The 20,510-nt window shown below is 46.3% G+C and overlaps 3 annotated features.

Moving 5' to 3' along the window:
* Positions 1,878–2,377: an enhancer, noted in NCBI's record as "H3K4me1 hESC enhancer chr12:123218665-123219164 (GRCh37/hg19 assembly coordinates)". NCBI's record gives its function as "activates a minimal SCP1, AML or CMV promoter by ChIP-STARR-seq in primed H9 embryonic stem cells {active_cell/tissue: H9 hESC(primed)}" and the evidence as "EXISTENCE:reporter gene assay evidence [ECO:0000049][PMID:30033119]".
* Positions 17,682–17,976: an enhancer, noted in NCBI's record as "tiled region #1215; HepG2 Activating non-DNase unmatched - State 8:EnhW, and K562 Activating DNase unmatched - State 8:EnhW". NCBI's record gives its function as "activates a minimal TATA promoter and a strong SV40 promoter by Sharpr-MPRA in HepG2 and K562 cells {active_cell/tissue: HepG2 | K562}" and the evidence as "EXISTENCE:reporter gene assay evidence [ECO:0000049][PMID:27701403]".
* Positions 19,080–19,941: an enhancer, noted in NCBI's record as "OCT4-NANOG-H3K27ac hESC enhancer chr12:123235867-123236728 (GRCh37/hg19 assembly coordinates)". NCBI's record gives its function as "activates a minimal SCP1, AML or CMV promoter by ChIP-STARR-seq in naive and primed H9 embryonic stem cells {active_cell/tissue: H9 hESC(naive and primed)}" and the evidence as "EXISTENCE:reporter gene assay evidence [ECO:0000049][PMID:30033119]".

A 20,510-nucleotide genomic window follows, 5' to 3' on the forward strand; every position in this document is an offset into this window, starting at 1 on the left:
TTGAAAGAATGTGTCTGTCTTCTAGATGCACACTGAAGCTAAATTCTTCCCACTGGATGCTGGACTCCAAATCTGTCCACCCACATTCTCCCCTGCCTCGCCCTAGCACAGACCGCAGTCACTTCCCACCTGAACTGTTGAAACAGTTTCCTAACTGGTTTCCCTTCCTCTCATCTATTTCCTGTAAGTCATCTTCTACACAATAATCTGATTTTTCTGAAGCACAGATATTATCATATACCTTTTTTCACTTAAAAATCTTCACTAGCTCCCTTCAATCTGCCAAGGGGCTAGAATGATGGCCTGTGGACCATATCTGGTTTAAAAACCAGCCTGGCTTGGCCGATATGTTTTTAAAACCTGGTGCAGTCCTATAAAAACCTGGATTTCTGTTGTCTCTTAGAACACTGGAAGATCTGGCCACACTGGACCGACACTCCCACATGGAAACAATCAGCTGGAGCTTAGAGTAGATGGAGTAGAGACAGAGAATGAGCCCCTGTAGACAGAGAATGAGCTTTACTGTTTGCCACAGTCCCCACCACTCCCTATTGCCTTACACCTGGTTGGCTTTCCTCATTGGCAAGCCTAGTCTCTGTGGGATTTTGAGTTTGTCACCTCTTGCTCTAGGTTGAAGGTCACATTCCTTGGATTGACGTACAAGGTCCTTCACAGTTGGTTCCCAACCTACCTTTCCAGTATGATTTTCCTGCCACTTTCCTCCTTCCACCCTACTCGCTAGTCTCATAACCTCTAATAAATAAAAACGTGTTCGTCAAACGTCTATATCTAGTTCCCCCACAAATTCAGGAGTTCTTTGAAGACAAACTTCATACTCTTGGCCTGGATGACTAACTCCTACTTTTCTCCTTCTTTCTTTCCTTCCGTCTTTCTTTCTTTCTTTCTTTCTTTTCTTTCTTTCTCTCTCTCTCTTTCTCTCTGTCTCTCTCTCTCTCCCTCTCTGCCTCCCTCCCTCTCTCTCTTTCTTTTTTTTTTGAGACAGAGTCTGGCTCTGTTGTCCAGGCTGGAGTGCAGTGGCTCTGTCTTGGCTCACTGTAGCCTCAACCTCCCAGGCTCAAGCCATCCTCTTACCTTAGCTTCCTGAGTGGCTGGGACTACAGGTGCATGCTACCATGCCCAGCTAATTTTTGTATTTTTTGTAGAGACGGGGTTTTGCCATGTTGTCCAGGTCTCAAACTCCGGGGCTCAAGTGATCCACCCACCTTGACCTCTCAAATGTGCTGACATTACAGGTGTAAGCCACCATGCCAAGCCTAACTCCTACTTTTCATGAGAGCTCATTGTAACCACTTTCACTCTGTGGGCCTTTGTGATTCTGTGATAAGGTGTTAACTAACAGGGGTAACCATGGTAGGTTGAAACACCCCAAGATGAGGTCAGAGGGGTAACCCTGAGTACTTCACATGCTTAGCCTGGATTTTTTAACAAATGGAAAATATTCTTCATTCTACATTCTCAGATACTGTCGGGATTCTTGTAAACACAAATACTTCCTTTTTTTTCCACATGACTAACACCTGCCTTTCTTTTCTAAATCCTTTGTCTTGTCAAATCACCTTCTTCTCTCTCTTTTTTTTTTTTCTTTTTGTGGCTGTAGAATTAGCTGTAAGGCAGAGGATTAAGGAAGAAAAAAATGGCATCTATTCCTCTGAAAGTCTACTGGTTTTTTTGGTTTGTATGTTTTGAGACAGAGTCTGGCTCTGTCGCTAAGGCTGGAGTGCAGTGGCACAAATGTAGCTCCTTTCAGCCTGTGCTTCCCAGGCTCAAGTGATCCTCCCACCTCAGCCTCACAAGTTGCTGGGACCACAGGCACGTGCCACCATGCCTGGCTAATTTTTGTATATTTTGTAGAGACAAGGTCTCACCATACTGGTCAGGCTGGTCCTGAACTCCTGGGTTCAAGCGATCTGCCTGCCTCAGCCTCTCAAAGTGCTGGGATTACAGGCGTGAGCCACCGCACCCACCCCAAAAGCCTACTGGTTTTTCACGTACAATCTGATCTTATTCTACCCCAGGGCTTCAAGAAGATGCTGTCTCTCTCTTCTTGGACTTCCTGCTCAAGATCATGCTGTGGTGCCCTATTCCTTTGTGCACCAAATTTAGATCTATCTAGGCTCATGCCTGTAATCCCAGTACTTTGGGAGGCAGATCACTTGCGATCAGGAGTTCGAGACCAGCCTGCCCAACATGGTGAAACCCCAACTCTACTAAAACTACAAAAATTAGCCGGTCGTGGCCGGGAGTGGTGGCTCACTCCTATAATCCCAGCACTTTGGGAGGCGGAGGTGGGTGGATCACCTGAGGTCAGGAGTTCGAGACCAGCCTGGCCAACATGGTGAAAACCCTGTCTCTACTAAAAATACCAAAACTAGCCGGGTGTGGTGGCAGGTGCCTGTAATCCCAGCTACTTGGGGGGCTGAGGCAGGAGAATCGCTTGAACCTGGGAGGCGGAGGTTGCAGTGGGCCGAGATAGCGCCATTGCACTCCAGCCTAGGGGACAAGAGTGAGACTTTGTCTCAAAAAAAAAAAAAATTAGCCAGTCATGGTGGTGCATGCCTGTAGTCCCAGCTATTCCAGAGGCCGAGTCACAAGAATCGCTTGAACCCAGGAGGTGGAGGTTGCAGTGAGCCAAGATTGCACCACTGCACTCCAGCCTGGGCCACAGAGTGAGAATCTGTCTCAGAAAAAAAAAAAAAAAAAAAACAAAACTGGCCAGGCAGTGGCTCACACCTGTAATCCCAGCACTATGGGAGGCCGAGGAGGGCAGATCACCTGGAATCAGGAGTTCAAGACCAGTCTGGCCAACATGGTAAAACTCCATCTCTATTAAAAATATAAAAATTAGCCAGTGTGGTGGCAAGCACCTGTAGTCCCAGCTACTCGCGAGAGTGAGGCAGGAGAATTGCTAGAAGCTTGGAGGCGGAGGTTGCAGTGAGCCGAGATCGCACCATTGCACTCCAGTCTGGAGGACAAGAGCAAGACTCCATCTAAAAAAATAAATAGGCTGGGCGCGGTGGCTCATGCCTGTAATCCCAGCACTTTGAGAGGTGAGGTGGGTGGATCACAAGGTCAGGAGTTCAAGACCAGCCTGACCAACACGGTGACACCCCATCTCTCCTAAAAATATGAAAATTAGCCAGGTGTGGTGGCGAGCACCTGTAATCCCAGCTACCTGGGAGGCTGAGGCAGGAGAATTGCTTGAACTGGGGAGGCAGAAGTTGCAGTGAGCTGAGATTGCAGCCACAGCACTCCAGCCTCGGTGACAGAATGAGACTCCGTCTCAAAAATAAATAAATAAATCTAAAAATTAATTCAAAATATATCCAAGATCTAGATGTAAAAGCTAAAACTATAAAACTCTTAGAAAACATAGGGGAAAAGCTTAATGACATTGACTAAGGCAATGATTTTTGGATATGATGCCAAAAACACAAGGAACAAAAGAAAAAATAGATAAATTGGACTCCACCAAAAGTAAAACCTTTGTGCCTCAAAGGACACTCACTATCAACAGACAAGGTGAGGTCAGGTGCAGTGGCTCACGCCTGTCATCCCAGCACTTTGGGAGGCCGAGGGAGGCAGATCACTTGAGGTCAGGAGTTTGAGGCTAGCCTGGCTAACATGGTGAAACCTCATCTCTACTAAAAATACAAAAATTAGCTGGGTCTGGTGGCACACATCTGTAGTCTCAGCTTCTTGGGAGGCTGAGGCAGGAGAATCCCTTGAACTTGGGAGGTAGAAGTTGCAGTAAGCTGAGATTGCACCACAGCACTCCAGCCTGGGTGACTGAGACTCCACATTAAAAATAAAAACAAAACAAACAAACAAAAAAATAGACAAGGTGATATGGTTTGGCTGTGTCCCCACCCAAATCTCATCTTGAATTGTAGCCCCCATAACTCCCACATGATGTGGGAGGGACCCAGTGGGAGGTAATTGAACCAGGGGGCAGGACTTTTCTGTGCTATTCTTGTGATAGTGAATAAGTCTCACAAGATCTGATGGTTTTGTAAAGGGGAGTTTCCCTGCACAAGCTCCTTTTTCTTGTCTGCTGCCATGTGAGATGTGCCTTTCAGCTTCCACCATGATTGTGAGGCCTCCCCAGCCACGTGGAACTGTGAGCCCATTAAACCTCTTTCTTTTGTAAATTGCTCAGTCTTGGATATGTCTTTATCAGCAGTGTGAAAGTGGACTAATATACAAGGCAATCCATGGGATGGGAGAAAGTATTTGCAAACCACATATATGTGATAAGGGATTAATATCCGAAATATACAAAGAGCTCTTACAAATCAAGTACAATATCAACAAAAAACAACCTAATTAAAAAATAGACCGGGCACAGTGGCTCACGCCTGTAATCCCAGCACTTTGGGAGGCTGAGACCAGTGGATCACAAGGTCAGGAGATTGAGACCATCCTGGCTAACATGGTGAAACTCCGTCTTTACTAAAAATATAAAAAATGAGCCAGGCATGGTGGCAGGTGCCTATAGTCCCAGCTACTCGGGAGGCTGAGGCAGGAGAATGGTATGAACCCGGGAGGTAGAGCTGGCAGTGAGCCGAAATTGAGTCACTGCACTCTAGCCTGGGTGACAGAGTGAGACTCTGTCTCAAAAAAATAAATAAATAAAATAAAACAAAAATAAAAATAAAGAAATTAGCTGGATGTGGTGGCACACACCTGTAGTCCCAGCTACTCAGGAGGCTGAGGCAGGAAAATTGCTTGAACCCCAGAGGCGGAGGCTGCAGTGAGCTAAGAATGTGCCACTGGACTCCAGCATGGGCAACAGAGTGAGACTCCATCACAAAAAAAAAAAAAAAAAAAAGAGAAAGAAAAAAAAGAAAAGAAGAAAAAGGCAAACGACTTGAATAGGCCTATCTCCAAAGATATACAAATGGCCAATAAACACATTTGCCACTAAGATACTCAATATTACTATTTCACTAGGGAAATCTAAATCAAAACCACAAGATACCACTTCACACACATTAGGATGGTTATTGGTTAAAAAAAAAGAAAAAAGGCTGGGTGCGGTGGCCCATGCTTGTAATCCCAGCACTTTGGGAGGCCGAGGCAGGCGGATCACGAGGTCAGGAGATCGAGACCATCCCAGCTAACACGGTGAAACCCTGTCTCTACTAAAAACACAAAAAAATGATCCAGGCATAGTGGTGGGCAACTGTAGTCCCAGCTACTCGGGAGGCTGAGGCAGGAGAATGGCATGAACCTGGGAGGCAGAGGTTGCAGTGAGCCGAGATCACACCACTGCACTCCAGCCTGGGCGACAGAGCGAGATTCTCTCTAAAAAACAAAACAAACAAACAAACAAAAAAACACAGAAAATAAGCATTGGCAAAATTGTGGAGAAACTGAAACCCTTGTGCATTGTTGGTGGGAATGCAAAATATGGAAAACAATGCGGCAGTTACTAAAAATATTGAGATCCAGCAATTCTACTTCTGGATATATGCCTGAAAGAATTGAAAGCAGGGACTTGAACAGGTATTTGTACACTCATGTTCATAGCAGTATGGTCACAATAGCCAAAAGGCAGAAGCAGCCCAGGAGTCCATCAGCTGATAAACAGATAAACAGAATGTGGTCTATACACACAATGGAACACTATTCTGACTTAAAAAGAAAGGAAAGGGCTGGGTGCGGTGGCTCATGCCTGTAATCCCAGCATCTTGGGAGGCTGAGGCAGGTGGATCTCTTGAGCCCAGGAGTTAGAGACCAGCCTGGACAACATGGCGAAACCCCAACTCTACCAAAAAAAAAAAAAAGAAAGAAAAAAAAGAAAAATGAGCTGGGTGTGGTGATACATGGCTGCCATCCCAGCACTTTGGGAGGCTGAGGTGGGCAGATCATTTGAGATCAGGAGTTTGAGACCAGCCTGGCCAACATGGTGAAACCCTGTCTCTATAAAAAATACAGAATTTAGCCAGGCGTGGTTGCAGGCACCTGCAATCCCAGCTACTCTGGAGGCTGAGGCAGGAGAATCACTTGAACCCGGGAGGTGGAGGTTGCAGGGAGCCAAGACTGTGCCACCACACACCAACCTGGGCAACAGAATGAGATCCTGTCTCAAAAAATATATATATTTATTGAAGCGACCTCTAAAGTGTTTTCTAGATGCTTCAGGACACCCAAAATGAGGAAGAGTTTATCTGTCACCTGGAGCTGAGTGTTGAGTCGGGGAAATAAGACAAGCACAGTAGTCCCCCCTTATCTGTGGGAAAGATGTTCCAAGACCCCAGTGGATGACTGAAACTGCAGACGGCACCGAGATCTATGTGCCCTGTGGGTTTTGGATCTGGGAACAGCTACTAAGTGACTACCAGGTCGGTAGCGTCTACAGTGTAGATACGCTGGGAAAGAGAGGATTCACATCCCGAGCAGGGATGGCGAGAGACTTCATCATGCTACTCAGAATGCTATGCCATTTAAAACTTGTGTTTGTTTCTGGAATTTTCCACTGAATATTTTTGTGCCATAGCTGACCACAGGTAACTGAAAGCCCCGGAAAGCAAAACCACAGATAAGGAAGGCCTAGGATACATAACAATAAAGTAAAACAAATAGAATACGTGGTTTAAAGTAATATTTTCCACAATGAATTAGACACACCACAGATGATATGTGAAATGATATTAGGTGATACAGAGTAATGTATACACATATTTTTATTTTATTTTATTTTATTTTATTTTTTGAGACGGAGTTTCACTCTTGTTGCCCAGGCTGGAGTGCAATGGCACGATCTCGGCTCACCGCAACCTCCGCCTCCCAGGTTCAAGCGATTCTCCTGCCTCAGCCTCCCTAGTAGCTGGGATTACAGGCATGTGCCACCACGCCCGGCTAATTTTGTATTTTTAGTAGAGATGGGGTTTCTCCATGTTGGTCAGGCTGGTCTCAAACTCCCGACCTCAAGTGATCCGCCCGCCTCAGCCTCCCAAAGTGCTGGGATTACAGGCGTGAGCCAGTGCGCCCGGCTTTTATTTTATTTTATGAGACACGGTCCCACTCTGTTGCCCATGCTGGGGTCACTGGCGTGATCTTGGCTCACTGCAGCCTTGACCTCCTGGGTTCAGGTGATTCTCCCACTTCCGCCTCCCGAGTAGCTGGAACTACAGGCATGCGCCAGCAGACTTGGCTAATTGGTTTTTTTAATTATTTTTTGTAGAGACAGGTCTTGCCCTTTGCCCAGGCTGGTCTCAAACTCCTGGACTCAGGCGATACTCCCACCTTGGTCTCCCAAAGAACTGCGATTACAGGTGTGAGTTACCACACCCAGCCACATATTTTAATTTCATAGGTATAACTTTATTTTAGGCCAGGTGTGGTGGCTCACGCTTGTAATTCCAGCACTTAGGTAATGCGAGGTGGGAGTATTGCCTGAGCTCAGGAGTTCGAGACCAGCCTGGGCAACATGGTGAAACCCCATCTCTACATCTCTACTAAAAATAGGAAAATCAGCTGGGTGTGGTGGTGGGTGCCTATAATCCCAGCTACTCGGGAGGCAAAGGCATGAGAATTGCTTGAACCTGGGAGGCGGAGGTTGCAGTGAGCCAAGATTGCACCACTGCACTCCAGCCCTGGCAACAGAGTGAGACTTCATCTCAAAAAAAGAAAAAAGAAAAGAAAAATTTCTAGAGGAATAAAAGAAGGAACAGACATTTCCAGACAAAGGGAAGAGCATGGGAGAAGTTAAGACTGGAGGGCGTCTAAGGAACATTTGAGGAGTTCGGAATTTGGAGTCCATATCAACCAACCACGAAGAGTGGGGCTGTTTTGCAGGGGACCTTGAATTCAGTGGCAGAAGGAGACAGAAGCAGGTGCCATTGTAAAGGACTGGGGGAAAGGCTGAAAGAGAGCAAAGGAAAGCCCATTGTAGTCATGTAGGAATTCTGCAGGTTCAGGGCCTTTGTATGCTGTTTTGTCTTTCTAGAGTTTTCCGTGGTGAACTGTCACGGTGATGTTATCAGGGAATGAGGCCCTGCAGATCACTGAAGCCCACTCCCTTAAGCAGCAACACGTTAAAAAAAAAAACAGTTTCTCATTCTCGTCCTCAGATTCCGCCTAAAAGGGAACTGTTAGTACCATCCTCCAAATAGTTCAAGCCATTGCCGTTAGTCCTGCTCCTTCCAGGCCCAACTAGAATCTGCAGTCTGCAGATCGTACATCATGCATGTCTCCACGCACATTTCTACCATTTTGACTGGCCTAAGGTCTGGGAGGAAAGCAACTGCCTCCTGATTGGTCCCCTGCCTCCTGTCTTGCTCCTCCTCCAGCTCATTCTCCAAAACTCAAATCTGATGATGTCACTTACCTTGCGCAACACTCCAATGCCTTCTCGTTGTCTTTAGCAGGGAATTCAAGATGGCAGGCAAGACACTACAGGAACTGGCCTCAACAGCTCCAGCAAGAGTCATAACTGCGATAGTCTGCAAAGGCCACCTTACAGGGAGCCCTGGAGACGCTCTTCCTTCCTCCTAGGGCTAACTGCTCTTTTGTAGGCCTCAGTCTAGACCAGCCTCTTCCAATAGAGCTTTCTACCGTGATGGAAATATTCTGTAATATGCATGCAGCCACTGAGCTCTGGAAATCGGGAATAGGAACTGAGTTTCTATTTCTTTTCTTTCTTTCTTTCTTTTTTTTTTTTTTATGAGACGGAGTCTTGCTCTGTCGCCCAGGCTGGAGTGCAGTGGCGCCATCTCGGCTCACTGCAAGCTCCGCCTCCCGGGTTCACGCCATTCTCCTGCCTCAGCCTCCCAAGTAGCCGTGACTACAGGTGCCCACCACCACGCCCGGCTAATTGTTTGTATTTTTAGTAGAAACGGGGTTTCACCGTGTTAGCCAGGATGGTCTCAATCTCCTGACCTCGTGATCCGTTCGCCTCGGCCTTCCAAAGTGCTGGGATTACAGGTGGGAGCCACCGCACCCGACCTTTTTTTTTTTTTGAGACAGAGTTTGGCTCTTGCTGCCCAGGCTGGAGGGCAATGGCATGATCTTGGGTCACCGCAAGCTCCGCCTCACGGATTCAAGTTATTCTCCTACCTCAGCCTCCCAAGTATCTGGGATTACAGGCATGCATCACCACGCCCGGCTAATTTTGTATGTTTGGTAGAGACAGGGTTTCTCCATGTTGGGCAGGCTGGTCTCAAATTCCCGACCTCAGGTGATCCGTCAGCCTTGGCCTCCCAAAGTGCTGGGATTACAGGCGTGAGCCACCAGGCCTGGCCTAAAATTAAGTAATATTAAAAACTCAGTTCCAGCCTGACGCAGTGGCTCACCCCTGTAATCCTAGCACTTTGGGAGGCCAAAACAGGCAGATCACCTGAGGTCGGGAGTTCGACACCAGCCTGGCCGACATAGTGAAACCCCATCTCTACTAAAAATATAAAAATTAGCCGGGTGTGGTGGCAGGCACCTGTAATCCCAGCTACTCGGGAGGCTGAGGCAGGAGAATCACTTGAAGCCAGGAGGCAGAGGTTGCAGTGAGCCGAGATAGCGCCATTGCACTCCAGCCTGGGCAACAAGAGTGAAACTCCATCTCAAAACAAACAAAAAAACAAACAAAAAATACACACACACACACACACACACACACACACACTATAATTTAATTTTGGTTAACTTAAAATGCACCAGCTTGGGCAACAAAGTGAGACCCCATCTCTATAACAACTAGGAAAATTTAGCTGGGTGTGGTGGCACACACCTGTAGTCCCAGCTACTTGGAAGGCTGAGCTGGGAGGATCACTTGAGCCTGAGAGGCCGAGGCTGCAGTGAGCCGTAATTGCGCCACTACACTCCAACCTGGGTGACACAGAAAGACCTTGTCTCAAAAAACTTTTTTTAATAAAATAAAATAAATAAATAAATAAAATGTAAAAGCCACAGATGGTTTGTGGCTACCATATCAGAAGTTTGGTAGACCTCACTTCCCCACAGCTCTGAAGCCTTCTGTGATTCTCTTTCTTTAGTCTGGGTCAAGCCCGCTTCTCTGGGCCATTTCGGCCATCCTCACACTTACCATGCAGCATTGTAATGATTTACATGTGTTTCTCCAGTACGTAGCCCAATGCCTGGCACCAAAGGGCTACTCGATAAGTATGTGTCAGATAAATAAATGAACCACCCAAGAAATGATTACAGACTCTTTTTTTGTTTTGTTTCATTTTTTTTGTTTTGTTTTGAGACAGACTCTCACTCTGTCACCCAGGCTGGAGTGCAGTGGTGCGGTCTCTGCTCACTGCAACCTCCACTTCCCGGGTTCAAGCAGTTCTCCTGGCTCAGCCTCCCGAGTAGCTGGGACTACAGGCACCCGCCACCATGCCTGGCTAATTGTTGTATTTTTAGTAGAGACGGGGTTTCACCATGTTGGCCAGGCTTGTCTCCAATTCCTGACCTCACGATCCACCTGCCTCGGCCTCCCAAAGTGCTGGGATTACAGGCGTGAGTCACAGTGCCCAGCTGTGATTCCAGACTTCTGGTAGCTTCCTTCTTCTCCTGGCTGTGAGGTGACACTACTGCACAGAAAGGGTGAATTGAAAGAACTTGGCGACACACCTGCCGGGCTGATCTGGCATGAGCTTGGGGACCTTAGGCTCTGTTGTGCCCCCTACTCTGATGCTTTATAAAGAAAGCAGTTTGGTTTATACGTGACCAGGGCAGGAAGTGAATATTCCTGCCTGGGTTCACCCAACAGGTGGTTGGGGGAAAAACTGTCTATGTGGTATAAATTCGAGGGCTCTGTTTCCCCAAAACTCCTTCCCCAGCCAGGACCCTGATTTTCTCATTGTATTAGCTTCCTGTTTCTCAGGGTGCTGGAGGCCAGAAGTCTGTAATCACAGTGTCAGCAGGACTGTGCATTCTCTAGGGGGACTAGTGAAGACTTTGTCCTTTCCCTTCCAGCCTCTGATTGGCTGTCAGCATTCCTCGGCTTGCGACCACATCCCTCCAGTATCTGCCTCTGTGTTCACATGGACTTCTCTCCCATGTGTCTCTCCTAAGGACATTTGTCATTGGATTTAGGGCACAGTAATCATGAATCATCTCATCGATCTAGGGATCTTTAACTTAATTAGATCTGCAAAGACCCTTTCTCCAAATACGGTCATATTCATAGTTTCTGGGGGACAGGATATGAACACAGATTTTCAAGGGAGGCCACTATTTAACCCACTACAGTGATTTTTTTTTTTTTTTTTAGACAGAGTCTCACTCTGTCTCCAAGGTGCTGGAGTGCAGTGGTACGATCACGGCTCACTGCAGCCTCTAACTCCTGGGCTCAAGCAATCCTCCCGCCTCAGCCTCCCGAATAGCTGGGACTACAGGTGCGTGACACCACACCTGGCTAGTTTTTGTAGATATGGGAGCTGGCTATGTTGCCAGGGCTAGTCTTGAACTCCTGGGCTTGAACTCCTGGGCTCAAGTGATCCTCCCACCTCAGCATCACAAAATGCTGATTACAGGCGTGAGCCACTGTGCCTGGCCTACAATTACTTTTATTTATTTATTTACTTATTTTTGAGACAGTCTCGTTCTGCTGCCCAGGCTGGAGTGCAGTGGTGCAATCTCGGCTCACTGCAGCCTCCACCTCCCGGGTTCAAGCAATTCTCCTGCCTCAGCCTCCTGAGTACTAGGAGTACAGGCATGTGCCAGCACACCTGGCTAATTTTTTTTTTTTTTTTTTTTTAGTAGAGACAGGGTTTCACTGTGTTAGCCAGGCAGGTCTCAAACCCCTGACCTCAAGTGATCCACCTGCCTTGGCCTCCCACACTGCTGGGATTACAGATGTGATCCACTGCGCCCGGCCTACAATGACTTTTCAACGTCAGTTTTTGAGTTCTAGAGTTCCTCTCTACCCAGCAATTTCAACATGCCTTCTCTGGAAGTGAGGAGGAATTACTGACCAAATTTAATGTTGAAGTGATTCATTGTATTTGTTTGTTTGTTTGATTCTGCCTGAAGGGGCTACAGCCCAGGAGAAGGCTGGGACCGAAAGGTTGAGGGGAGAGATGAGGATTGCCTCACACAGTGACCCAGGTGTCACGCGGACCAGACACGGGCTCTGATGGGGAAGTTCTTGCTATTTCAAAATGACTTTAAAATTGCAGTCTGGGCATAGTGGCTCATGCCTGTAACCCCTGCCCTCTGGGAGGCCAAGGTGGGTGAATGACTTTAGGTCAGGAGTTGGAGACCAGCCTGACCAACATGGTGAAACCCTTTCTCTCCTAAAAACACAAAAATCAGCTAGATATGGTGGTGCATGCCTGTAGGCCCAGCTACGTGGGAGGCTGAGGTGAGAGGATTGCTTGAATCGGGGAGGCAGAGGTTGCAGTGAGCCAAGATCACGCCATTGCACTCCAGCCTTGGTGACGGAGGGAGACCTTGTCTCAAAAAAAAAAAAAAAAAAGAGAGAAGAAAATTGCAAATAATAGTTTCTTCTATATATAAAATGCAAGAAAAATTAAAAAGGGGGAGCTATAGATTCAAAGAGATTGAAGAGATAGATCAACCAATTGTCCATACTGTGACTCAGTTAACTCCAAATGTTAAAAAGTTGGAGACATCGGCCAGGTGTGGTGGCTCACGCCTGTAATCCCAGCACTTTGGGAGGCCAAGATGGGTGGATCACGAGGTCAAGAGATCCAGACCATCCTGGCCAACATGGTAGAATCCCATCTCTACTAAAAATACAAAAATTAGCTGGATGTGGTGGTACGCACCTGTAGTCCCAGCTACTCAAGAGACTGAGGCAGGAGAATCACTTGAATCTGGGAGGCAGAGGCTACAGTGAGCTGAAATTGTGCCACTGCACTCCAGCCTGGGTGACAGAGCGAGACTCCGTCTCAAAGAAAAAAAAAAAAGTTGGACACATTCGTGGAAATGTGAACACTGACTGGCTAATTGTATACATTAAGGAATTACTGTTACTTATGTTAGGTGTGATACTGATATTTTGGTTATGTTTAAAGAAAGAGTCCTTATCTTTTACAAATAAATACTGAATATATGTAGATGAAATTATATAACATTTCAAACTTACTTCAAAGTAGTCTGGCAGGGAAGGGGAGTAGAAATAGAAAAAGAGAGGTTACAAGTTTTTGATTGTTGTAGTTGGATGGAGGGAACATGGGCATTCGTTGTCCTGTTCTCTCCGCTTGTATATATTTCTCATAATAAAAAGTTAAGGCCGGGCACGGTGGCTCACGCCTGTAATCTCAGCACTTCAGGAGACCAAGGCGGGTGGATCAGCTGCAATCAGGAGTTCAAAACCAGCCTGACCAACATGGTGAAACACCATCTCTATTAAAATTACAAAAAATTAGCCAGGCGTGATGGCGCACGCCTGTAATCCCAGTTACTTGGGAGGCTAAGGAAGGAGAATTGCTTGAATCCAGGAGGTGGAGGTTGCAGTGAGCCAAGATCGTGCCACTGCAATCCAGCCTGGGAGATGGAGCAAGACTCCGTCTCAAAAAAAAAAAAAAAAAAAAGTTAAGTAGGCCAGGCACAGTGGCTCATGCCTGTAATCCCAGCACTTTGGGAGGCCGAGGCAGGTGGATCACCTGAGGTCAGAAGTTCAAGACCAGCCTGGCCAACATGGTGAAACCCCATCTCTACACAAATACAAAAATTAGCCAGGCATGATGGCAGGTTCCTTTAATCCCAGCTACTTGGGAGGCTGAGGTAGGAGAATGGCTTGAACCCGGGAGGTGGAGGTTCCAGTGAGACAAGATTGTGCCACTGCTCTCTAGCCTGGGAGACACAGCGAGACCCCATCTCAAAAAAAGTTAAATAAAGTCTCGGTGTGGTGGCACATGCCTGTAGTGCCAGCTACTCAGGAGGCTGGAGTAGGAGGATCTTTTGAGCCAAGCAATTCAGGTCCAATCTAGACAACATATTGAGACTCTATCTCTAAAAATAACGTTTTTTTTGGTGGGGCCTGGTGGCTTGCACCTGTAATCCCAGCAGGCTGAGGTGGGAGGATTGCTAAAGCCCAAAAATTTGAGACCGGCCTGGGCATTAGAGTAAGACCTTGCCTCTAAAAGAAAAAAAATTATTAATTTCAATAAAAATAAAAATAAAATTTTAAAAAGAATGCCTGTAATAGTATTTTTTTTTTTTTTGAGATGGAGTTTCACTCTTGTTGCCCAGGCTGAAGTGCAGTGGTGCGATCTCAGCTCACTGCATCCTCCTCCTCCTGGGTTCAAGTGATTCTTAGGTCTCAGCCTCCCAGATATCCAGAATTGCAGGCGTCCACCACCACCACGCTGGGCTAATTTTTTGTATTTTTAGTAGAGATGGGGTTTCATAATGTTAACGGCTGGTCTTGAACTCCTGACCTCAGGTGATCCACCCACCTCAACCTCCCAAAGTGCTGGGATTACAGGCATGAGCCACCACGGGCCCAGCCACTAGAATAGTATTTTTTAAGTGAAAGAAAATTGAGAGTAACTGAAATGTTTACCAGTGGGGAATGAGATAAATAAATTATAGTGACTTCATTCAAAAAAAAATTTACACTTGTTAAATAAAATACATACTTGTTAGCCAGGCTCAGTGGCTCATGCCTGTAATCCCAGCACTTTGGGATACCAAGGCAGGTGGATCACCTGAGGTCAGGAGTTCGAGACCAGCCTGGCCAACATGGCGAAACCCTGTCTCTACTAAAAATACAAAAAATAGCCGGGCGTGGCGGCAAGCACCTGTAATTCCACCTACTTTGGAGGCTGAGGCTGGAGAATTGCTTGAACCCAGGAGGCAGAGGTTGCAGTGAGCCGATATCGTGCCACTGCACTCCAGCCTGGGCGATGAGAGCGAAACTCCGTCTCAAAAAAAAAGAAGCTATACTTATTAAAAAGAATAATAGCATTCACTTGTATAACATTTGCCTTTGGAAAGGCCCTGTTCTAAGCATTTCTGCTATGAGATGCAGAATTAAATGTACTAACCCAGAAAGATGTCCAAGATATGTCCTTAAGTGAATAAAAACGAACTACCACCTTGCAGCTTGTGTGGTATAATTCGATTTTTATAAATTAAAATATGATGTTTTTTATTTCCTTGTACGTTGTTGGTGGGAGAATAAAAAGTTCATTTGCTGTGGGAAACAGTCTGGCAGTTCCTCAAAAAGTTCAACATAGAATTGCCACACGACTCAGCAATTCCACTCCTAGGTATACACCCAAGAGAACTGAAAACAGAGACTCAAATACTCGTACATGGATATTCATAACAGCAGTCTTCCTATAGCCAAAAGGTGATGTGTTGGTTTAGTTTATGTGTTAACTTGGCTGGGCCATGGTGCCCAGATATTTGATTGAATACTATTCTAGATGAGGGTGTGTTTTAGATGAGATTAACATTTAAATGTGTGGCCTTTGAGTAAAGTAGGTTGCACTCCACAGTGTGGGTGTGCCTCACCTGATCAGTTGAAGGCCTTAGAAGAACAAAGACTGAGCTCGTCTGAGCAAGAAAGAATTCTGCCAGCAACATCAGTTCTTCCCAGGGCGTCCAGCCTGCTGGCCTACCCTTCAGATTTGGGACTTGCCATCCTCCATGATTGTGTGAATCAGTTCCTCAAAATAAATGTCTTTATAGAAACAGAAAATTCTATGGTCCTGTTTCTCTGGAGGATCTTGACTAGGACAAGTAGAAACAAGACAAATGGTCACCTGTGAATGAATGGATGAACACATTTGTGGTATATAAATACAATGGAAAATATTATTCAGCCATTAAAATGCTGAAGGGATGAAGTGCTTTTAATGGTTTAATGAATCCTTTTATAAAAAGGATGCGTCATGCTACAAAGTGTATCAGTCTCAAAATCATTATTCTGGTTGGGCACGTTGGCCCACACCTGTAATCCCAGCACTTTGAGAGGCTGAGGCGGGTGGATCACCTGAGGCCAGGAGTTTGAGACCAGCCTGCCCAACGTGGTGAAACCCTGTCTCTACTAAAAATACAAAAAATTAGCCGGTTGTGGTGGCGGGCACCTGTAATTCTAACTACTTGGGAGACTGAGGCAGGAGAGTCACTTGAACCTGGGAGGCAGAGGTTGCAGTGAGCTGAGATCACGCCATTGTAATCCAGCCTGGACAACATGAGCGAAACTGTGTCTCAAAAAAAAAAATTATTATTGTAAGTAAAAGAAGCCAGACACAAAAGGTCACATACAGTATGATTTCATTTATATAAAATACCCAGAATAGATAGATCATAAAGACAGGACTCAGGTTAGCGTTTGCCAGGGGAGAATGAGGAATGACTGCTTAATGATTTTGGGGTTTGCTTTTGGGGTGATGGAAATGTTTTGGAAGTAGATAGAGGTGGTGTTTGCACACCAGATGGAGATACTAAATGTCATTGAATTGCTCACTTTAAATGGTTAATTTTGTGTTATTGTGCTATTGTGTTATGTGAATTGCAACTCAATTTTAAAAATTATATATACATTTTAAAATCTGGAATACATTTTAAAATTTGTACTCTGGAGTTAAGCTGCCTGGTTTAAAGTTAATTCTCTCGCTGAGTAGCTGTGAGATCTTAGGCAAGCTATTTCACCTCTTTGTTTCCTCCTGTGTAAAACAGGAACAATATTACATCACTCTAATATGAAGGAAAAATGAGTTAATCTGTGTAAAGTGCTTATAACAGTGTATAACACAGAGGAGGTGCTATGTAAGTTGTAGCTACTATTATTATTATTTTTTTATTTTTATTTTTATTTTTTGAGACGGAGTCTTGCTCTGTCGCCCAGGCTGGAGTGCAGTGGCGTGATCTCGGCTCACTGCAAGCTCCGCCTCCCTGGTTCATGCCGTTCTCCTGCCTCAGCCTCCCGAGTAGCTGGGACTACAGGCGCCCGCCACTACGCCCGGCTCATTTTTTGTATTTTTATTAGAGACGGGGTTTCACCGTGTTAGCCAGGATGGTCTGGATCTCCCGACCTTGTGATCCGCCTGCCTCGGCCTCCCATGGTGCTGGGATTACAGGCTTCAGCCACCGCGCCCGCCCTATTACTATTATTATTATAATTATATGACCAAACTGTCACAGTACTCTGGGGAGAGAGAAACCTTCATTTTTTACTGTATATGCTTCTGTATGGTTTGAATATTTTGCAAGAAGCATGTAATATTTTTACAATAAAAGACTAAAATGCATTGTAGTAAGACTCTCAGAGTGTCTGGGAGCACAGAATTAGAGTCAAGCTGATCCTCTGCCAGTGCTTTTAGTCCACTGAGAATCGACCTGTGGCGGGTCATCCCAGCTTCAACCAGTGAGATGCGTTTATGCTGATACTTCTGATACTCTGGGTCCCTCATATGAGGGGGTCCTTGGTTTGACTAAGCAAAGACAGGTTTTGCTGCCTGACTTAACAAAGTGCTTATCTCATCCCGATAAAATTGTATCATCTTTTAAAATTAGTCCTCCTCTACATTGAATGTTTATGGGCCTCTTGTGACAGAACTGGTTGTGTCCCTTGTCAGTCCTGTGCTGCAAGAGCAAATGACCTTATTAAACGTCTACTTTTTGGAGAAGCAGAACAGGTTGCTTTTTATTAACTGCTGTGGTGCCGCTCCTCCCTCTTCATCTCAGTCCCCTAATCCTTCTCCCTTTGAGCAGGGCTTCTGGGATCAAGAGTGCAGATGATGGCCTATTTATGTGTTGTTTTTGTCTTCCCAGCATCCAGGCACTCTACTTGGGCATTAGCATCCTGATTTTCCTTGGGCAACAGATTCCGCCCTCTCCATCCATCTCCGAGGTTTGGAGGATTGGGGATTTGGTTCCACCCCTTGCCTCTAAAAATAGGCATGTGACCAGGTCTGGCCAATCAGATCATTCCATCCCTGTGGCCACTGTGACTGGCCCAGGGATGAGCACATGACTCAAAATGCTAATGAGACATTCACCTGAGTTGTTCCCTGGAACTGTTGGAAAAGATAAATATCTCTTTCTTCTGGGATGGTTAAACTAATAGAAAATAACGTAAGTAAGCAGTAGGAAGAAAACATAGGGATAGAGCCAACAGATGAAAAGAGATAGCAACCTTAAAAAAAAAAAACTTGTAAGCCGGGCGCGGTGGCTCACAACTGTAATCCCAGCACTTTGGGAGGCCAAGGCGGCCGGATCACGAGGTCAGGAGATCGAGACCATCCTGGCTAACACGGTGAAACCCCGTCTCTAATAAAAATACAAAAAATTAGCCCGGCGTGGTGGCAGGCGCCTGTAGTCCCAGCTACTCGGGAGGCTGAGGCAGGAGAATGGCGTGAACCCGGGAGGCGGAGCTTGCAGTGAGCCGAGATCGTGCCACTGCACTCCAGCCTGGGCAACAGAGCGAGACTCTGTCTCAAAAAAAAAAAAAAAAAAAAAAAAAAACTTGTAAATTTGACATAATTTCAAATGTACAGAAAATCTACAAGAATAGTATGAAGAAACTCCCATGTGTTTACCCAAAATCACCAAACATACACACTTCTCACATTTGTTTTAGAATTCTCTGAGAGCAAGAGTGAGAGAAAGGTTCTAGAATACGTTGTTTTATCTGCAGGATCCAACTATTCTTGAAACCAAGATCTATTCCTGAAGGGGTGGGTTGCCCCTCCACGCCTGTGGGCATTTCTCGTCAGGTGGAACGAGAGGCTTGGAAAAGAAAGAGACACAGAGACAAATTGTAGAGAAAGAAAAATGGGCCCAGGGGACCGGCGTTCAGCATACGGAGGACCCGTGCCCGCACCGGCCTCTAAGTTCCCTTAGTATTTATTGATCATTAGCAGGCATTTCCCGGACAGGGGGATGTGCCAGGATAATAGGGTATAATAGTAGAGAGAAGGTCAGCAGGAAAACATGTGAACAAATGTCTCTGCATCATAAACATGGTAAAGAAAAAAGTGCTGTGCTTTTGATGTGCATATACATAAACATCTCAATGCCTTAAAGAGCAGTATTGCTGCCAGTATGTCCCACCTCCAGCCCTAAGGCGGTTTTCCCCTATCTCAGTAGATGGAATATACAATCGGGCTTTACACCGAGACATTCCATTGCCCAGGGACGAGCAGGAGACAGATGCCTTCCTCTTATCTCAACTGCACAGAGGTGTTCCTTCCTCTTTTACTAATCCTCCTGAGCACAGACCCTTTACAGGTGTCGGGCTGTGGAATGGTCAGGTCTTTCCCTTCCCACGAGGCCATATTTCAGACTATCACATGAGGAGAAACCTTGGACAATACCTGGCTTTCCTAGGAAGAGGTCCCTGCGGCCTTCTGCAGTGTATTGTGTCTCTGGGTACTTGAGATTAGGGAGTGGTGATGATTCTTAAGGCGCATGCTGCCTTCAAGCATTTGTTTAACAAAGCACATCCTGCACAGCCCTTAATCCATTTAACCCTCAGTTGACACAGCACAGGTCTCAGGAAGCACAGGGTTGGTGGTAGGGTTACAGATTAACAGCATCTCAAGGCAGAAGAATTTTTCTTAGCACAGAACAAAATGGAGTCTCTTATGTCTACTTCTTTCTACACAGACACAGTAACAATCTGATCTTTCTTTTCCCCATATATTCCCATACTCTTACATTTTTCTTTTTTTCATTAAAAAAAATTGTAGGCCGGGCGCGGTGGCTCACGCCTGTAATCCCAGCACTTTGGGAGGCGGAGGCGGGAGGATCCCTTGAGTCCGGGAGTTCGAGACCAGCCTGGACAGCATAGGGAGATTCCCCCACCTCTATAAACAAATTAAAAATTAGCTGGGTGTGGTAACGCGCGCCTGTATTCCCAACTACTTGGGAGGTCGAGGCTGCAGTGAACCGTGTTTGTGCAACTGCACTCCATCCAGCCTAGGTGACAGAGTGAGACCCTGTCAAAACATAAAGAAAAGGATGAAGGAAGGGAGGGAGGAAGGAAGGAAGGGAGGGAGGAAGGAAGGAAAGAAGGAAGGAAGGGAGGGAGGGAGGGAAGGGGAAGAAAGAGACAGAAAGAAGAGAAAGAAGAAAGAAAAGAAAGAACAGAAAAGAAAGAAAAAAGAATTCCTTTAATTTAGTGTATGGTGTTAAAACGCAACCAAACGCTCCATCCGGCGAAGAGAGAGAGAAAAGAAGAGAGGAAGGAAAGAAGGAAGGGAGGGAGGGAGGGAGGGAGAACACCTTCCTTTAATTCAGTGCATGGTGTTAAAATGCGACCAAACGCTCTATCCGGCTGCAATCTCCCCGCACGGGAGTGATTTATGCAGTAGCTGGAGGTTAGTCAGGACTCCAGGATGCACCGCAGACACCGAGGCGATGATCCTCGGACTCATTAATAGGGAGTCATTTGTGACTCAGGTGCGCTCTCTGCGTCTGCAAGTCACGTTCCCTTCGGCACGCCCATCTCGAGGATTCATCCTCTCCAACGGGTGACGAGCACCGCCTGCCGGCGGCCCGCCTCTCGGCCTCTTGGCCACGCCCCCCACCGGAGGGCAAGGCGCACGCTCCGCAATTTT

Source organism: Homo sapiens, chromosome 12, assembly GCF_000001405.40.
Source record: "Homo sapiens chromosome 12, GRCh38.p14 Primary Assembly".
Lineage (NCBI taxonomy): Eukaryota > Metazoa > Chordata > Mammalia > Primates > Hominidae > Homo > Homo sapiens.